Below are 19,718 nucleotides of genomic sequence, written 5' to 3'. Positions count from 1 at the left end.
AGTCACTGGTCAGGTGACCTTGACAATCTCAAAGCCTCAGATTCCTCATTTGTAAATTACGTGTAACTGCCTTCAGGTCAGTGGTGTTAAGGAAAATAATTTTATATATACACATACACACACATACACACACACACACACACACACACACACACACACACGACCAAGTTATCACAGGTGTTCTGAGCCTCAAAACACACCCCAGTATTTCCACTTCACAACATTAGGTATGGGCCAAACACAGAGCAAGAACTCTGTATCTGGAGGGTGTCAGTGACGCTGGGTTCTGCCCTCCCCAGACACATGGCAGCCCCTCTCAATTCAAGCGCTGGCCCAGCCCAACAAAGAGAGAGATCCACTGCCACTGGCCCCACCACGACCCCAATCACACTCAGCTCTCCTCCTGGCTGCTGGGTCCACACCAGATGCTACACAGGACCTTGTAGCAGCCAGGGAGGCAAGGAGAGGCACTGCCACCCAGGCTCTGCCCTGCACTGAATGCAGATCCACCTACTGAGACAGACTCAAGGACTCATTCTTGGGGTTAGGTAGGAGAAGTGGTGAGGAAAAGGAAGGAGACCACACTGGGGAAGTCACACTCTGTCTTTCCAAGAGCCGCACCTCCTAAAGTCAGCACCCAAGCCCCTGATTCATCGCTCTCCGAAACAGCACCCCCACTCCAGAACAGACCTTTTCAGAACTGTTCCACCACTCAGCAGGCACAAGGTTGCTAAGTGCTCAAGACATCATGCTTTGAGCAAGTCAGGCATAATGCATGCAATCAACAAATACTTGAATATATCAGCACTCCCATAAAACAAAAAGAAAAAAAAAAAACAAGGAAGCAAAGGGAAAAGCAAGGGACAGGATAGGATCAAGCAACTGCACTTCTGGGTATATCCCCAAAATATTTGAGACCAGGATGTCAAAGAGATATCTGTACACCCGTGGTCACAGCAGCATTATTGACTTTGCAATAGCTAATGTGGAAGCAACCCCCAAGCGTCCATCAGTGGATGAACGGATCCACAAAATGTGGTCTACGCATACAATGGAATATTATTCAGCCTGAAAAAGAAAGGAAATTCTGCTACCAGTATGGATCAACCTTGAAGGTACTACGCGAAGTGAAATAAGCCAGTCCCAAAAAGACAAGTCCTGTATCATTCCATTTAGAATAGATACTTAAAGTAGTCAAGCTCACAGACACAGAAAGCAGAATGGTGGCTGCCAAGGGCTGGGGGGAGGCGGAAATGAGGAGTTCTTGACTAGTGGGTGGGATGTTTCAGTTTGGCAAGATGAAGAGAGTTCGGGAGATGGATGGTGGGATGGTAGCACGGTAGCACATTCTGAAAGTGCTTAATGCCACTGCACTATACACACAGAAAGAGTTAAGATGGTAAATACAACCTCGTGCTTGTGCATTTTACCATAACAACCACCAAAACAATCAAAGAAATAAAAAAAAAAAAAAAAAAAGCAAAGAACACAAAAAGGCAATTCACAGATTAAACCCAAACACTTGGTGGACATATGAAAAGATGCTGAGGCTCACTCGTGACCAGGGAATACATATTAAAACCAAATCTCATTTCCACATTGCTGGCAGAAGTACAAACTGACACAAAGGCTTAGAAGAGCACTTCACAGTATCTAGTGAGGCTGAATATGTGCATATTTTACAATCTGGTAATTCCATTTTGAAGTATATAAGTACAACCCACTCCAGGATATTTATTAGGCAGTGCTGCAATAGCAAAAAAAAACAAACAAACTGGAAACACTATCATCAGTACAGCCATGGCTATATACACTGTGCTACCTGAATACTATATAGCCATGTAAACTGAAGAAATCAATCCATATGGGTCAATTGGGATAAACTTGAAGACATAATGTTAACTTTTTTTTTTTTTGAGACAGAGTCTTGCTCTGTCACCCAGGCTGGAGTGCAGTGGCGTGATCTCAGCTCACTGCAGCTCTGCCTCCCGGGTTCACGCTATTCTCCTGCCTCAGCCTCCCAAGTAGCTGGGACTACAGGCGCCCCCCACCGCGCCCAGCTAATTTTTTTTTTTTTTTTGTATTTTTAGCAGAGACGGGGTTTCACTGCGTTAGCCAGAATGGTCTCGATCTCCTGACCTCGTGATTCACCCGCCTCGGCCTCCCAGTGTGCTGGGATTACAGGCGTGAGCCACCGCGCCTGGCCCATAATGTTAACTTTTTAAAGTCATGCCTGTAATCCCAGCACTTTGGGAGGCCAAGGCAGGAGGATTGCTTGAGCCCAAGAGTTTGAGACCAGCCTGGATAACATAGCAAGATTTCATCTTTATTTAAAAAATAAAAAAATAAAATAAACAACTTAGCTGGGCTTGGTGGCTTATGACTGTGATTATCCCAGTTCCTCAGGAGGCTAACTAAGGTGGGAGGATCACTTGAGCCCAGGAGATGAGAGGTTGCAGCGAGCTATGATCGCGCCACTATACTCCAGCCTGGGTGACAGAGCAAGATCCTATCTTAAATAAAATAATAAAAGTAAAAACTTATGTTTAAAGGTGTTGCAAAAACAAAGTATGCGTCCAAAAACAACATTATTTATGTGTATAAACAGTGTGTGCTTGTGTGTATGATGAAAGAATGAAATACAGGTTGACACCCAACTTTAAGTGATAATTATATTCTGGGGAGATGGGGAAGAATAAAAGAGGTCACAGGGGCATGTCTTTGGTTCTCTACTTGCAATATTTTATTTCTTAAAGGAAAAAAATCTAACGTCATATGAGAGATAATATTCCCATTTGTTCAACCTGGCAGATTATCACATGCAACTCTGTTACATTAATATTTATATAGATGAGATATTTTCATATTAATAGAGATAGTGAAGAAATATAAATTGAGAAGCTAAACAAGGAAAGATGAATATATTCACCTACATAAAATTTAAGTGAGACAGACAGCAAGTGCAAGAGAGAGAGGGAGGAGTAGAGAGAAGACAAATGAAACACTTAAAAGACAACTGAGCCGGGGAGCGGTGGCTCACGCCTGTAATCCCAGCACTGTGGGAGACTGAGGCGGGTGGATCACCTGAGGTCACGAGTTCGAGACCAACCTGGCCAACATGGTGAAACCCCGTCTCTACTAAAAATACAAAAATTAGCCAGGCATGGTGGCAGGCGCCTGTGATCCCAGCTGCTCAAGAGGCTGAGGCTGGAGAATTGCCTGAACCCAAGGAGGTGGAGGCTGCAGTGAGCCAAGATCGTGTCATTGCACTGCACTCCAGCCTGGGCAACAAGAACAAAAATCCGTCTCAAAAAAAAAAAAAAAAAAAAAGACACTGAAAAACTAAAGTACATTTGCAACCTATACCTAACATATCAGTAAATTCACTGAGCCTATGATGTGCTCACGTAAATCAGAAAAAAAAAAAAAAAAAAAAACAAGAAACCTAATTTAAAAATAGGCAAAGGGCCAGGCGCAGTGGCTCACACCTATTATCCCAGCATTCTGGAAGGCCAAGGTGGATGGATCATTTGAGGTCATGAGTTCGAGACCAGCCTGGCCAACATGGTAAAACCCCCACCTCTACTAAAAATATAAAAATTAGCCAGGCATGGTGGCAGGTGCCTGTAATCCCAGCTACTTAGGAGGCTGAGGCAGAAGAATCGCTTGAACCCAGGAGGTGGAGGTTGCAGTGAGCCAGGATTAAGCCACTTCACTCCAGCCTGGGAGAGAGAGCGAGACTCTGTCTTAAAAAAGAAAAGAAAAAAGAAATAAAATAAAAATAGCCAAAGGACATGAATATTTACCTTAATGTAAAGAAATGAATGGCAAATAAGAAACTATGGTCATCTACATCTACAAATTCCAGCGTGATGGAGACAGCATATTTCATTCATCATAACAGCAAAACACGAGGGACCTGAGCTCTCATAGATGTACTAGGAAGAAAAACTAGAGCTACCTCTCAGAGGGAATTTGGCCCATGGCCAGAACTTTATTCTACAAAGTTTCCTATGTTTCTACAGACTTGTCTGTCAGGATCTTCAACAGCACTTTTTCTAGGGGTTAAGATGGAAACAACTTGAAATCTGCTCACAGACAAGGAAACACTATGGAGCTGTGAAAAAGAGGCTGCAAACCTATGCGTGCTGGTATCGTCTAATCTCCAAAACATAGTATCCATAGCATCAAAACTTAGGATGGGTGAAAACAACGATATCCATATCTCCAAATGCACTTTCACAAAACAGTTACATGCATACCCAGATATGTCTGTACACGAATAGGTTTACTCAGAAGGATGCAAAACAAAGGCTATGGCCTCTCAAGAGAAAAGTCCTGGGGGTCAGAGGTCTGGAATGAGAGTGACTTATGCTCATATTCCCATTTGTACTGCTTACCTTTATAATTTTTTTTTTTTTTTTGAGACAGAGTCTTGCTCTGTAGCCCAGACTGAAGACCAAAGGCCCAATCTCAGCTCACTGCAGCCACCCACCAGGCTGAAGCAACCCTCCCACCTCAGCCTCCCCAGTGGCTGCGACCACACGCACATACCACCATGACCAGCTAGTTTTGTAAATGTTGGAGAGATGGGGTCTCACCACGTTGAACAGGCTGGTCTCAAACTCCTGGGCTCAACTGACACGCCTGCCTCTGCCTCCCAAAATGCAAAGATTAAAGGTGTGAGCCACCACACCTGGCCTGCTTACCTTTTTCAAACTGGTGACTGTGATACCCTTTCAAATAAAATTTGATTTAAAAAAAGGAGGAAGAAAAAAAATATTGAAATCTCACACTTGGATGTGAATTCTGGACCAACCATCACTTGTGTGAGTGCAAACGACCTTTCCAGGTGTCAGGTTTTCTTTTGGGTAAATGGGATTTTTAAAATGGCACTATCTGGAAGGGAAGTTGTATGAGCAGACAATGTAGCTCCAAAGACAATTACTGAAATGGAAGCAGCTGATCTCAGACCCTAGAACACGCGTCACCTGCGCCTCTCGCTGACTGGCCCTACTTGCCCTCCTTGTGTCCTACCCTGAGGACAGAAACAGCAGTGGCAGAGCACCAGCCACAGTATGCACCCTGGGCAATCACGGCCTGGCCAGGGCAGCAAGTGAGGCTGGGCTCCAGCCCTCCTCCTACTTGCCAAACTGTATGCTCTGGTGCAGGGCTTCTCCAGCGGGGTGGGGGAGGGGTGTGTGTGTTACCGTTCCTAATTTACAGGAAAGTGCTGTAGAGATTAGCAGCAACACCATTCAGAGCAGCTAACTTCCTCCTCTCCTCTCCAAGTCAAAACAGCGCAGTGCAAAGATCTGGATGTGCACAGACCTGGGCGTTGCCAGAAGCACCCCAGGGGAAGCTGGCAGAGCCACCCACCGGTGTTTGTCTTTCTCCATGCCATTTCCCCTGTACTCACAAGGATACCCTTCTCATGAGCAGGTGTGGCTTCTGCAGAGCTGGCTCCAGCCACCTTTTGTCCAGCTGTACCCACTTCCTAATTCCGGCACAGCTGGCCAGCCCTCTCTAAAGTGAGGTCACCCACAGGACTAACCTGTGTCCCAGGAGAGCCACAGAGGTCACATCACTCCTTCCCTACTTGTTCCACAGAAGGGCTACTGGAATAATACCCCTGTCCCAGCACAGGCTGGGGACCCCAAGGCCTCCCCAGACTGTGAGGCTGGACAGGTCAGCAGAAACAGGAGCCACAAGGCCTGTGGGCCGAATGCAAGCAGGGAGGGCACTGACTCGAGCACTGTGGCAGGACAGAAACAGGGTGACATGCTGGACTCATGGCATTCATCCTTGGGGGGCACAGACACACGGCAAACAGGAAATGGTGGAGATGACGGGGCAATGACAACCACAGGACCACTAACACAGGGCACAGGGGCAGAGAGTGAGGGCCACCAGCCCTTGGCCACTGGGGGGATAGAACCATGTCTCTGAGGAGCCGGCTATAAACCGGAGGCCTACATGAAGGGCAGCCATGGGAAGATGGGGTAGGCAAGAGAAGGTTCCAGACTGAGAGAAGTGCCCAAGACTCTGAGCTGGCTGGGTGCAAGGCACAGAAAGTTCCATATGGTGGCAGACAGCCAGGAAGGAAAGGGGGTGCCAGGGAGGCCACGGGGACACGTGGTATAGATGTCACAGGCCACCCTAAAAGCTCAGATTCTAAGTTTGGGTGTCATGAATGTCACTGGAGGGCATTGATAACAAAGAGTGACACCACTGGATTCGCTTTTTTTTTTTGAGACAAGGTCTTACTATGTTGTCTAGGGTGGCCTCAAACTCCTGGGCTCAAGGGATCCTCCCACCTCAGCCTCCCAAAGTGCTGAAATTACAGGCGTGAGCCACCACGCCCTGTCCTGAATTCACTTTTAAATCATCCCTGGGGCTGTGCTGCAGCTCCTGGCATAATCTTACTGAAGTTTTCAACAAATTGATGGGGGAGTACTCTTTCATTCTCATTTACACAGAAGAAAACTGAGGCACAGAAGGAATACATTAAATGTTCCAAAATCAGACAGGTCGAAAATAGTGGAACCAGGATTTAAAATTCAGCCAGAACTACTTTTAATCTCTATACTCTATGCACCCATGAAATTTGGGATGAGTTGTCTGGAGCTCAGAAACTCACCAGGTGGGTCAGGCGCGGTGGCTCATGCCTGTCATCCCAGCACTTTAGGAGGCCGAGGTGGGAGGATCATGAGGTCAGGAGATCGAGACCATCCTGGCTAACACAGTGAAACCCTGTCTCTACTAAAAATAAAAAAAATTAGCCGGGTGTGGTGGTGGGCGCCTGTAGTCCCCTACTCGGGAGGCTGAGGCAGGAGAATGGTGTGAACCCGGGAGGCAGAGCTCGCAGTGAGCCGAGATCGCCACTGCACTCCAGCCTGGGCAACAGAGCAAGACTCCATCTCAAAAAAAAAAAAGAAAGAAACTGACCAGGTGACCTGGACCAGGTACTTAACCTCTCAGAGCCTCAGAGTCCTCGTCTTTTAAATGTGGATAACAGCAGCAAGTCCTCAGAGGTGTCCTGAGTCTCAAAACATATCCTGGTATTTAATGTCCGCAGCCTCAGCAGGGGCTGGGCACAGAACAAGCACTCAGGACGTGGAAGGTGCCAGCGACACCTGGTCCTCCCTTCCCAGGCACAAGGCGGCCCCTCTCCATTCAAGCTCTGTCCCAGCCCAGCAAAGAGAGGGGTCCTCAGCCACTGCCCCCACCACTACCACAATCACACTCACCTCTCCTGGCCCATATGTGACAAAGGACCTGCCACGGCCAGGGAGACAGGCAGAGGCACTGCCACTCCCACTCTGTCCTGCCCTCGACTCAGATTCACCCATGGCCCAGCCTCAGGAGATGCTGCTGGGGTGTGGTGGCATGCAGAAGGGGAGGGGGAGGAGGCCCCTAGGGAGGTGGCTCTCCATCTGTCTGTCTGGGTGTAGCACATCCTGGAGTTGGTGCCAGGCCCTGACCAGTTCCGCCCCATTCAGCCTTCCCAGAAGGGCTGGCACACGGATCCCTCAGCCTGACCAGACACCAGCCTCCTGTCCATGGTGACCCCACAGGCAGGCCCGCCACACCTGAGCAGAGTCCACTTCCAGAACAGTGCTGCCTCTGCAGATGACACACTCTATCCAAACCCAGTACCCCAAAATCCCCAAGCAGGGACAGCAAAGGCAACGTTCAGCCCTGGAGTCCCTACACAGGTGCCACAAATTCCAGCCCTGCCCCACAGTACAGCCTCTGAATTCAGGCTCTCAGCTCTGGTTTTGAGTGTCTTGGAGCACCGGAGATCTGGGCTCAGAAACCCCTTTCCTCTGCCTCACTCGGCAGACCTTGTACTCCCACCTCCCATCACCAGAACAACTGCTGGGCACTGAGACGGACACCATGGTCAGCCTGGCACTTGATGAACAAGTTTCTGGAACTGTGCAGCGGAGGGTCCAAGGGTCCACACCTGAAATCCCATTAGTCCCATTAGGAGCCAGCAGGGTTAAAGGGGTTGAGCCGGGGAGTATCAAGGCAGGCTCGCCAGAGGAGAGGGCCCTGCATTGGGAAGGGAGAGTGGGGCAGGGCCCCCAGACGAGGACTCGGCAAAGATGAGGGTGGGCAGGAAAAGCAAGCCCTCCACCCTGCAGCAGCCTGTCCCCAGGAACAGAGAAGGCGGCAAGAGAGTCCCTCTCCAGTTTGTCCCCCGCAGGAAGCCCACCCCCTCAGAGTAAAGGTGGGCCATGAGGGAGGGAAGACGAGGGGAGGAGGGGCCCTTCTAGGTGTCCAGGGCCCAGGCTCTGCGCAGTAGCCCCTCTGGTGAATCTGCCTGAACAGGCCCAGCTGCATCCACACTCAGAGCCTGAAGGCATAGACAGCCCCTTCCAGCAGCTCTCCGGTCCCTGCAGCTCACACCGGCCCTCCCATGTCAGTAACCTACACAGGCTCCTCCAGCACAAACACACTAGTCCATACTCAGGCGCCCGCAAGCTTGGTCACACACACACACCTGCCCAAATACACCCACTTCTCAGTCCTCCTCCTCTCTGCCCCCGCCCCCCATGCCCACATACAGCTTCCGGGGCTTGAGGGCCCCCCCAAGCCAGGGCACTCTTTTCCCCCATTCCTCAGGGCTGGCCGGGGGCTGGGCTCAGCTGCTGCTGCTGCTGCTCTACCTCCCTCAGGCCCAGTGGGTTCCTCCCACCCCAGCTCTGGCTCCTGGAGACTCTGTCAGCTTGCAGGTCCCCGAAGCTGTCACCAGGCAGCCCAGAGCCTCTAAGGGGCAGGGAGTGGCTGTGCCAGCCCTCAGGAACCTCGTTCCTCCAAAGTCACGGAAAGGGGAATCCTGGGCTCCTCGCCCTCTGCCCAGCCAGGCTCAGCTCCCAGAAAGATTCTGGCACCTGAGAGGAGACCCAGCCACGCCTATGAGCCCCACAGGTGTGTCCCCAGCAGGCCTGGAGAGTGTCCCAGGGCAGCCTGTGGCCATTTGGCCGAGGGTACTGCAGAGCCTGCTGCCCCATGGAGGGCACTCCCTGGCCTGGCACCCACACAACACACACTCACTGTCCTCTGGGCCTGTCTCAGCCTCTCTGCACCTGTGCCCAGTCCCAGTGACAGGGACTGTCCTCTCAGCCCACCCGGCACCCAAATCCAGGAACCTGCAAGGCCTTCCTCCAGCTGCCCCGCCAGCCTGCTCACACTTTCTGGGCTCAAGCCCTGAGGCTTTAGCAATTTCAGGGTCATCTGCACCCATAACTGGGGGGGTGATGAGAGGGACAGATTCCCGCCTGTCAAGGCCTGGTGACTGCCTGGGGACAGAGGATTCCAGAGCCTACAACTGGTTCAACAGGTCTGGGCTATGGCCCACACCCACCTCTGCACACAGAAGCCAGCCCAGGGTCCCATGGAATACCCCAGGGCAGAGACACTAAATCAACTGAAGGCGATGCCAGGGGTCATGCCAAGTGCCTGAACTCTGGCTTCTCCATCATCTGTGAGGCCCCAACACCAAGCCCTGCGTAATCTAAGGTCCTGGCCAGCGCCTCCTCCTCCTCCCAGCCCTGAGGAACCATCCTTGTCCTCAAGGTGGAAGAGCTCGGCCCTCAGTCCCCTGCAGCCTGGGATGAGCCCCACCCTCAGGGCTGGTGCACAACCAGAGGCTCTTCCCAAGGAAGCCTGGTGCCAGAAAACCCACACACTGAGGCACAGGCCAGACACAGAGCCTGGGAACACCCAGGAGAGCATGTCCCCCAGGGTCCCAGCCCCAACCGAAGCTGGGAGAGCCCAGAACCACCCGCCACCCAGTCCTCCTGGCCGCCCCTGCATGGCTGTTTCCTCCTGCCCAGGAGGAGCTGAAGGGATCTCAGCCCAGGACGTGATCCTCCCACCCCCACCCCCGAGAACACACCCAGGACTGGCAGCTCACCTGACCCTGCAGGGCTGCCAGTCCAGCTGTGCCCCAAAGAGAACATTCGCTTCTTGCTCTATTTGGACAGCTGCAGGGTCAGCGATGCTCAGGAGAGAACGTCTGGTCACAGAGTGGGGAGTGCGGTGATCAGGGCCACAGGCCCTCTGATGGGGGTGGGCCAAGGCCAGAGCTGCATCCCTGGATGAGTGGGCTGGGAGGGGGCCCGGGACCAGCCTGGCAGGGCACAGGGAAAGGCTGCAGTTATTCTGCCCTCCTGAGCACAAGAGGAGTGGTCAGAGGGATTCTGGAACCAGGGCTGGGGCCTGGGGGAAGGCAATGGAAGCCAGGAGTGAGGGAGGAAATGGATTCCCCTTTTAATGGCATTTATTCAGTTACAGGCTGCGGCCAAGGAACAGCCTCCCAAGTCCAGCCCAATACCTGACCTCACCTCACCCCAGACAGGTCCCACGGCCCCTCCTCAGCCTATCCAGGACTGGTGGGAAAGGTCCAAAGAAAAGAAGACAAAGCATCCACAAGCAGAAGTCGGTGGCTGGACTCCACCCTCCCCTCCCCAGGAAGCAGGAGGCAGAACTGGGAGGTCAAGACCAGCACTTCCCCCTCCTGCTCCCACCCTCTCCTCCTCTCTGGCCCTCGTCTCCTGCCCTCTCCTCCCGGTCCCTGTGTCCTTTCCAGCCATCCCATCCTGGTGTCTCCTGGTCCCCATCTCCACCTCCTCCTCCTTTCCTCCTCTGCCCACAGCCCCTGGTTATGTAAGGGGCTTGGGAACACACAGAGGGAGCTTTGTTGTCAAACCAAATCCATATGGAGCCGGAATGGGTCACAGTAACTGGTGCCCATTTTCTCCATCCTGCAGGGTTGGGACTCCAGGCAGGGAACCCCTACACACCTCTGTTTTGGGAGGTGGGGGGATGAACACTGGTCCCAGGGCCCTCAGGCAGCTGAATGGGTGGCCAGGGATCAGTCTCCACTATGAGAGACCACAGCAGGGGAGCAGCTGGTCTCTAAGGCCGAGCAAAGCCACAGTGCAAAGCTAGGGTCTCAAAGCCAACAGAGGCCAGCTCTGGGCTAGGGGCAGGACAGCACCACAGGCCCGGGTTGGGGAGGGGCTGTGCACATGCAGAAGTGCACCCCATGTTCTTGTCTATGCAAGGATGCATGGCCATTACCCTCTCTCACACACTCATCTGCACACTTCCAGGCACGCATGTACAGACAGAAATGCACGCATCAGCCCAAGCCCAAAAGGCTGTTGTGTGCTCACCTGGATATGGTCTGAGTAAAAATCTCCCTACTTTGGCCAACTCCCTCCATTCCTGCAGATTCCTCTGGGTCAAAGAGCTCTGGAGAGAAGAGGGTGGAGGTCACCAGTCAGGGAAGCTCCATGCGGCAGCTCTTCTTTGGAGATGCTCAGGCTCCAGAAAGATGAAATCCCACCTACCTGCCGAGGAGGTCTCTAGTGCTAGGGCAATTCGCTTTATTTGACAGGTTATCCACCAAATAAGAGTTTACAGACCTGACGGCACTATCATTGCCCTCATCACTCTCTCTTCTGGAAAGGCTGAATGCAGAAATGGTATCACAAAACTAAAATTAGCTAAATTAACAGAGTCAACTGAATTACCTTGGCCAAAAGAATTATCACCGACCTTTATGGCAAGAACATCAGCCCCTAGGGGAACACATAAAGTGGCCCTTCACAAAATAAATACTGAACGACTTGTGCCTTTCATAACAGAACTTCATTTATCCACTCTACTGGTGGCTCTGATGTGACTCAATACTGCAAGGTCTTGATGTATGATGCCAAAGTATATCCCACCAGGTGAAGGAGGCTTTCTGTGACCTGCCTATTGATGATCCCACCTTACGTGACCTGGAATCTGGAAACTGGATCTTTTTTTTTTTTTTTTGATACAGTCTCGCTGTGTCACCCAGGCTGGAGTGCGGTGGCACAATCTCGGCACACTGCAACCTCTACCTCATGGGTTTAAGCGATTCTCCTGCCTCAGCCTTCCAAGTAGCTGGGATTACAGGCATGTGTCACCATGCCCGGCTAATTTTTGTATTTTTAGTAGAGATGGGGTTTCACCATGTTGGCCAGGATGGTCTCAAACTCCTGACCTCAGGTGATCCGCCCGCCTCAGCTTCCCAAAGTGCTACCATTACAGGCGCAAGTCACTGTGCCCGGCCGAGACTAGCTCTTTTGTAAAAGACAGCAGAGAACAACTGCCCTTGAGCCCCATTGAAAGACACTACACCAGTTTCAGTTACTATTCTCACCGTAGCAAAATGTCAGGATCTTGAACCTTGGGTACATGTTTCACAGCTAATGAGAGCTCTCTTAGAGTTTTGGACTTGTCAATCCACATGTGATTTAAAATTAAGGATAACAGGCCGGGTGTGGTGGCTCATGCCTGTAATCCCAGCACTTAAGGAGGCCAAGGTGGTTGGATCGCCTAAGGTCAGGAGTTTGAGACCAGCCTGGCCAACGTGGTGAAACCCCATCTCTACTAAAAATACAAAAATTAGCCAGGTGTGGTGGCAGATTCCTGTAATCTCAGTTACTCAGGAGGATGAGGCAGGAGAATTACTTGAACCCGGGAGGTGGAGGTTGCAGTGAGCCAAGATCGTGCCACTGCACTGCAGCCTGGGCAACAAGAGAGAAACTCCGTCTCAATAATAATAATAATAATATAAAAACAAAATTAAGGATACCCAAGAGAAATCCTTCCATAAAAGTAGATGATATCATGAAATAGACACAGCTTTCCCAAGACAATGAAACAAGACTCCATGTGGCCCCCTTCTATTGACTCAGACTTGTTTTTGTTTTGTTTTAGCACAAAAGGTTCACACTTTTATTTTCGTTAGGGAATTTCATTATCCACACTGAATATCCTCTAAGATCTACTGCTCAACATGAAGCCATCCTCACTACTAAGCAAAGCAATTGGTGGCTACGTAATCCTCTAGATAAATGGAAAGAATCACAACTAATATTAGAACCTGCTCCCATACACACTTGAGTGAGCAATTCAGGAAAATGGCGTTATGAAAAGGGTTGGTATCCTTCCCTTGGCAGTTGGCTGATATTTATGATCAACCAGTGTAGCTCTTGGAAGAAGCAACAGAGGCAAAGGGATGGCCTACAACTACGATTGATGTCATTAATGGTAACTTATCTCTACGCACAGAAAACATGAATGGAACTGGGCCAAATCTGGGCAGTGTTCCAGAATCCCTCTGTACTCAAATTCTTAGGTTTGACACAGATTATGAAGACTAGATTCCTACATGAGACACATATATAAAATCTGAACATGACCATGAAAGCCTCAACCATATCATCAGAGAACTTACTAGAACTAGACATTGGTTCAATGGAAATGCTACAGGAAAATCGTATGCCTCAATAGATCCACTACATAATGTACATAACAGTCTTGCTTATTGGACAGATCAATGCTCAGGTCATATTTGGAAAGAAAACCAGTCATCCCTTTGGGGGGCCGAGGAGGGTGGATCACGAGGTCAGGAGATCGAGACCATCCTGGCTAACACGGTGAAACCCTGTCTCTACTAAAAATACAAAAAAATAGCTGGGCGTGGTGGTGGTGCCTGTAGTCCCAGCTACTTGGGAGGCTGAGGCAGGAGAATCGCATGAACCCGGGAAGCAGAGGTTGCAGTGAGCCAAGATTGCACCACTGACTCCAGCCTGAGTGACACAGCAAGACTCCGTCTCAAATAAAAAGAAAACCAATCATCCCTAATTGATGATGGCATACAGTCATTTTATCAAATTCATAGAAATGTTTTTTGTTCCTACTCCAATTGAAACCATAACCATTCAACGTGGCGCTGTGCAGACGCAGATGTGACGGAGAATAACCATGACATTCGTATCACCCCCAACTCGTGGGTAATAGGATGCACTTTGACCCTTTCTATCGATAACACCGAATTATTCATTTTATGCAGCAACAAAGTATGTAAAGGTGTTCTACCTAGCCAGTCTGGATCTGTGGTGTGGGCTATCTTCTACCTAAAATGACTAGATATGACTCTTCAATTGCCATACAAATCCTTAGAGTCATTTGTACATAAAGTGACCCCTCACAAAAGAGAATCATAATATCCCAGACACAGTCTTACGAAGGGGTTCTGGATTTCATACTTCTGTAAGAGCCCGTTTCTCTCAGTTGAGTGAATTGAAAAAAATCAATTAATATTTTACCAACTTCTGAAAAAGTTTAATTGACACTTCGAATTATCTTAAGCAGTACAATCTGGGATGAATGAATTGGCCTCAGTAGTACTGTACAATAGAAGACTTCTTGCTACTTTAACTGCTCAAAAAGGGAGACCTTGTTCCCTAATTGGTAGAAAGGTGTTGCTGGCCGAGCGCATGGCTCACGCCTATAATCCCAGCACTTTGGGAGGCTGAGAGAGGTGGATCACCTGAGGTCAAGAGTCTGAGACCAGCCTGGGTGAAACCCTGTCTCTACTAAAAATACAAAATTAGCCGGGTGTGGTGGCACACGCCTGTATTCCCAGCTACTCAGGAGGCTGAGACAGGAGAATCACTTGAACCCAGGAGGTAGAGGCTGCAGTGAGCCAAGATCACACCACTGCACACTCCAGCCTGGGCAAGACAGAGTGAGACTGTATCTCAAAAAAAAAAAAAAAAAAAGAAGGTGTTGGCCAGGCACGGTGGCTCACACCTGTAATCCCAGCACTTTGGGAGGCTGAGGCAGGTGGATCACCTGAGGTCAGGAGTTCAAGACCAGCATGGCCAACATGGTGAAATCCCATCTCTACTAAAAACACAAAAATTAGCTGGGTGTGGTGGTACACACCTGTAGTCCCAGCTACTCAGGAGGTTGAGGCAGGAGAATCACTTGAACCTGGGAGGTGGAGTTTACAGTGAGCTGAGATTGCGCCACTACACTCCAGCCTGGGCGACAGAGTAAGACTCGATCTCAAAAAAAAAAAGTGTCATTTTTATGTTAACAAATCAGGTATTACCGAAAACTTAAAATACCTTAAAGAACACACATGGGTTTTTCATTAGATGGGCACTGCCTTCTCCATTGATTCACTCAGCTGGTTAAGTCTTGGCTCCTGGGAATCTTTGCTCAGAGGAATTTTTCAATCCTTGGCTATTATTCTCCTTATAATTATTATGTTTACCCCCCTGGTGCCTTGTATTCTCTCAAGGGTTCTAAATGATTTCCAACAGCTGCTCAAATATCAAACAGTTACCATGAGGATCATTCAACTTGAGGAAAGCAACACTGACTATGTAACTGCTAACTGTGGCCATGGAATTCTCATCCCCAACCTACCTACTGATGATGACAACAACATCTACCTGACTCTTTGTCCCAGTGACTACATTGGTGGTGGTAACAGAGAGTAATACTGTGTCATCTAGTCACACTATCAGCTTGCTGAGAGAATAACCAGAAGCAAGGAATTGTTAAAGCAAAATTTGGAGACCAGGCCTGAAAAATTCCTTACCAAACAAAACCAATGAGGCCTTAACAACAGCCTTAACCTTGCTTAAAAGACAGCATAATCAAATCTTAACTGGGGTTATTTATGGTAAATGCTTCTGTTTGACACAAATAAAACTTCAGCCAATCATAAGTAGCCAACTAACATATGGTTATGTGACTAGGAAACTTCCAACAAGGTAAACCAAACAAAGCAATTTTGTAATTGCAACCAATTAAATCAAATAAATTCTTCATTTTGCTTTTACATTCACTCTCCAAACACCTGCCTCTGAAACTGTCATTGGGCCACTAAACCTCTTTCGGTTTTCTGTTTCCCAATTCACTTCTTACACAAATAAACTCTTTAAAATATTATTGTGCCTGAAAAATTCTCTTTCACACAGGTAATATATTTTATTTTATATTTACTGGCTTTCAAATATTGCCCACTATCCTGGGACCTCTGAAACTGAAGACATTTTAATACCAAAAGCCAATCGGAGTAACTTACTATAGAATATGCTCTATGATATAATGTAATTTCGTATTATATAATTCTGTGTTTTCCTATCTTGCCTGTGAGGCTATGAACTCTGTGGTCAGGAACTTCTTTATATCTCTAGATTCTATTAAACTGCCAAGAATGTGGCAGATGTTTTATACACATTTGACAAACAATAATACGTGACTAACGATGTATTGCATGGCGAATTAACAACTGAAACAATGTACTGCACGTTCACTTTGTGCGAAACCAGGATCTCTTACTCATAGCCAGGGGCAAAAAAAAAAAAAAAAAAAAGGAAGAAAAGGAATCAGGATCCTGCAATCTCTGCCCCACTAACTTTGGGGGCCAGACAGTTCATTGTTGCGGGGTCTGTCCTGTGTATTGTGGGACGCTTAGCAGCATCTCTGGCCTCTACCCACTAGACACCAGAAGGAAATCCCACTCCCCAGGTGTGACAGAATGTTTCCAGACATTTCCAAATGCTGAGGACCACTGTGCTAGATGCTTCTAAGGGCTGTGCAAGTATTAAATATGATCTCGACCCTGTGAGTTCAACACGATAATTACCTCCATTGTAGAGCCAGGGAACTAAGGTGGGAAAGGGGTCAGTAACCGGCCCAGGTTGTACAGCTCGTGAGGAGCGGAGCTGGCACTGGAATTCTGGCTACTTCAGCCAGAACCCCCACATCCTACGGCTTCTAAAACCATCCCGTGCAGACTGGCTCCCTAGACTCCACGATCCCCGGGATGTCCACCCCTGCCCTACACAGCAATTAGGGGAAGGGGTCTCAAGCACATCCAAGTCCTTCGAAGGCTCCGCACAGTGACGAAGAGCCTGTCAAGCCCCTCCTCAGCCACGCTTCCGCACGAGACACAGTCTCTAGCCCCCACAGCCCTGGTGCTCTCTGGAAGCTCTGCAGTATGTGTTCAAGGCACACAGCTGTATTCGTGGGACCACTAACGCCTGCCAGATGGACACCAGACTTCCATGAATCCGACCATTTTTTGCAGCCACATCCCACCACTGGCATGGACTGACTCTCTCCGCTGTAGGCCAGGTCTCCCGGGCTGCGGACTCCTCTGGCTTCCCTGCCGAACTTCAGCGCGGGCCTGGGCTGTACCTGCTTCCACACATTCCACAGCCTGTCCAGGAGTCAGTCTCCACAGTGTCTGCCAACCCACAGCGATTCCTCTCGGCTTAGTGTCCGCTGCCCACGTTCTAGAGGGGACTCAAGCTGGACTGTGCATTTGACGTCATTAATACAACTGCCAGGTACAGTGAGCGCAGGCTACGGGCTGGGGAGTTCTCCCACAGGGTTAGAATCCACCCGATCAACACTCGGATACAGACGGTCCGCTAATTGCAAGTGCCAAGAACAGACCGGTCATCTGTAAAACTCCTCCTCAGCCCCAAAACCTCCATGGACTCTTCTCACTTACGGGGAGAGCCCGGGTCCTTGCTCTGACGCACAGAGACACACGTGCTCTACTGGCCAGCACCTCCTCCCTCCTTGCCCAACTCCTCTCCATGGAGGCTGCCCCACGCACCAGCCTCACCAGGTCTAGGGGGCTACCTAGGCATGCTCCCTCCTCTGAGGCTTTGTACTTTCGTTCACTCAGTCAAGAATGCTTTTCCGTAGACATGGGCTTGGCTATCTCTCTTCATCCAGCTTTCCTTTTCTCTATTTTTTTTTTTTTTTTTTTTTTTTGGAGACAAAGTCTTGCTTTGTCATTCAGGCTGGGGTACAATGGTGTGTGATCTTGGCTCACTGTAACCTCCACCTCCCGGGTTCAAGCAATTCTCGTGCCTCAGCCTCCCAAGTAGCTGGGATTTCAGGCATGCACCACCATACCCAGCTAATTTTTGTATTTTTAGTAGGAACGGGGTTTCCCCATGTTGTCCAGGCTGGTCTCGAACTCCTGACCTCAAGTGATCTGCCAAACTCGGCCTCCCAAAGTGCTGGGATTACAGGGGTGAGCCACTGTGCCTGGCCTCTTTGTCCAGCTCTTACTCAGCTTCTCTACTTCCCAGCAACAACTCCACACACCCAACACTGCAGGCCCCCTCCCCTGCTTGCAAAGATGTTTCTCTTGTTTTGCTTGCTGCTGTATTACCCATGTTGACAATAGTGCCCGGCACCCAGCAGGCTCTCAATACAAACGTGTTGAATTAATAAATGGATCTGTTCATCGGATAGCATCGCTCCAGTGCAGGTGGAACAGAGTGGAAGAGGCAGTGACAGTAGGTCAGATATCTTCTGGCCCCTGCGGCACAGTCCCTGGCTGGACGCTGCAGCCTCACCCCATCATTGAACACTGTGATCACAGCACGCCTGGGCACGGGGAGGCTTCCTGGCTCATTAGAGTTGGCAGAGAGCACAGTGAGTAACTGACCAGCTAACTGCCTCAGGGTCATGCATGGGAGGATGGAAACATCTCTCAAGCTGTCTGACCTTTGAGGGAAAGGAGCCAGACAGGCTTCCACCTACAGCAAAAGAAGTCTCTCTGTTCCCACCCTCAGGCTCCACAGGCTACCCACCACGACCCCCTCCCGTCCGCCCCTGCAGCCTGGCACTGCAGACTCCTGTATAGAAACACTGTATCACCCGTTTATCAGCTGCCAGTCACAAGACACCAACCACTTGAAAATCATACCTTGGTGTCTGCCTGGGAGGGGCAGAGGCTTTGAATTCCATTCTGAGGGTGAGAAAGCTGAAGCCAGTGTGAGGAGGTGGAATCAAGAGTGCAGCCTGGGCCCAAAGTAAAGGACAAATCCAGTGCCTGTGTGGACCTGCTCCAGGTCCTGGTCAGGGGCTCCCCGGCACCCCTCCATCCCAGGAGAAGCAATGCACCCACCCCAAGGATCTGAAGTTAAAGGCAAAATTGGGGAAGTTGCACTCCCCACCTCCCATCTTTCTAGATGCAGTACCTCCTAGAATCAGCACCCAAGTTCCTGATTAATCCATCTCCAAAGCAGCACCGCCTCTCCAGAGCAGCACCCCCTCTCCAGAACAGACCCTTTCAAAGTTCCTCCACTACTCAGCCAGGCACAGGGGTGCACAGTACTCAAGACATCAGGCTTTAAACAAGTCAGGTACAGTGCATGTAATCAACAAATACTTGAATATATAATATCAGTATTCCCACGAAACAATGAGAAAAAACATGGAAGCAAAGAGAAAACAAGAGACAAGATAGGATCCCACAACTGTGCTTCGGGGTATATACCCCAAAGAACTGAAACCAGAATATCAAAGCGATATTTGTACACCCATGTTCATAGCAGCATTATTCACAATAGCTAATCGGGAAGCAACCCAAGTATCCATCAATGGATGAATGAACAAAATGTGATCTATGCGTACAATGGAATATTATTCAGCCTGAAAAAGAAAGGAAATTCATGTAAAGGAAATATTATGGAGTTTTGCTGTATAAAATCCAAAGACGGCCGGGTGAATGGCTCACACCTTTAATCCCAGCACATTGGGAGGTCGAGGCACGCAGATCACCTGAGGTTGGGAGTTCGAGACCAGCCTGACCAACATGGAGACACCCTGTATCTACTGAAAATACAAAATTAGCCGGGTGTGGTGGTGCATGCGTGTAATCCCAGCTACTCGGGAAGCTGAGGCAGGAGAATCGCTTGAACCCAGGAGGCAGAGGTTGTGGTGAGCTGAGATCGCGCCATTACACTCCAGCCTGGGCAGCAAGAGCGAAACTCTGTCTCAGAAAAAAAAAAAAAGAAAAGAAAAGAAAAGAAAAAAAGAAATTCTGACATACA

The 19,718-nt window shown here is 49.5% G+C and overlaps 1 protein-coding gene across 15 annotated transcripts in view; it reads right to left on the bottom strand.

The window, feature by feature from the left end:
- ST3GAL4 (ST3 beta-galactoside alpha-2,3-sialyltransferase 4) overlaps positions 1-19,718 on the bottom strand; it is a 58,953-nt gene that overhangs the window by 22,541 nt on the left and 16,694 nt on the right. The window contains exon 1 of one of the 15 annotated variants that reach the window (XM_024448658.2): positions 7,251-7,341. The exons of 13 other annotated variants lie outside the window; for them this stretch is intronic. The gene's annotated coding sequence lies outside the window, so the exon portion shown is untranslated. Of the gene's footprint in view, positions 1-7,250; positions 7,342-19,718 lie in introns of those variants that run through there. One more of the 15 variants, XM_047427420.1, reaches the window with a different exon arrangement.

Source organism: Homo sapiens, chromosome 11 (assembly GCF_000001405.40).
Source record: "Homo sapiens chromosome 11, GRCh38.p14 Primary Assembly".
NCBI lineage: Eukaryota > Metazoa > Chordata > Mammalia > Primates > Hominidae > Homo > Homo sapiens.
The sequence above is the reverse complement of the archived record's forward strand: the minus strand, read 5'-3'. Positions and strand labels throughout refer to the sequence as shown.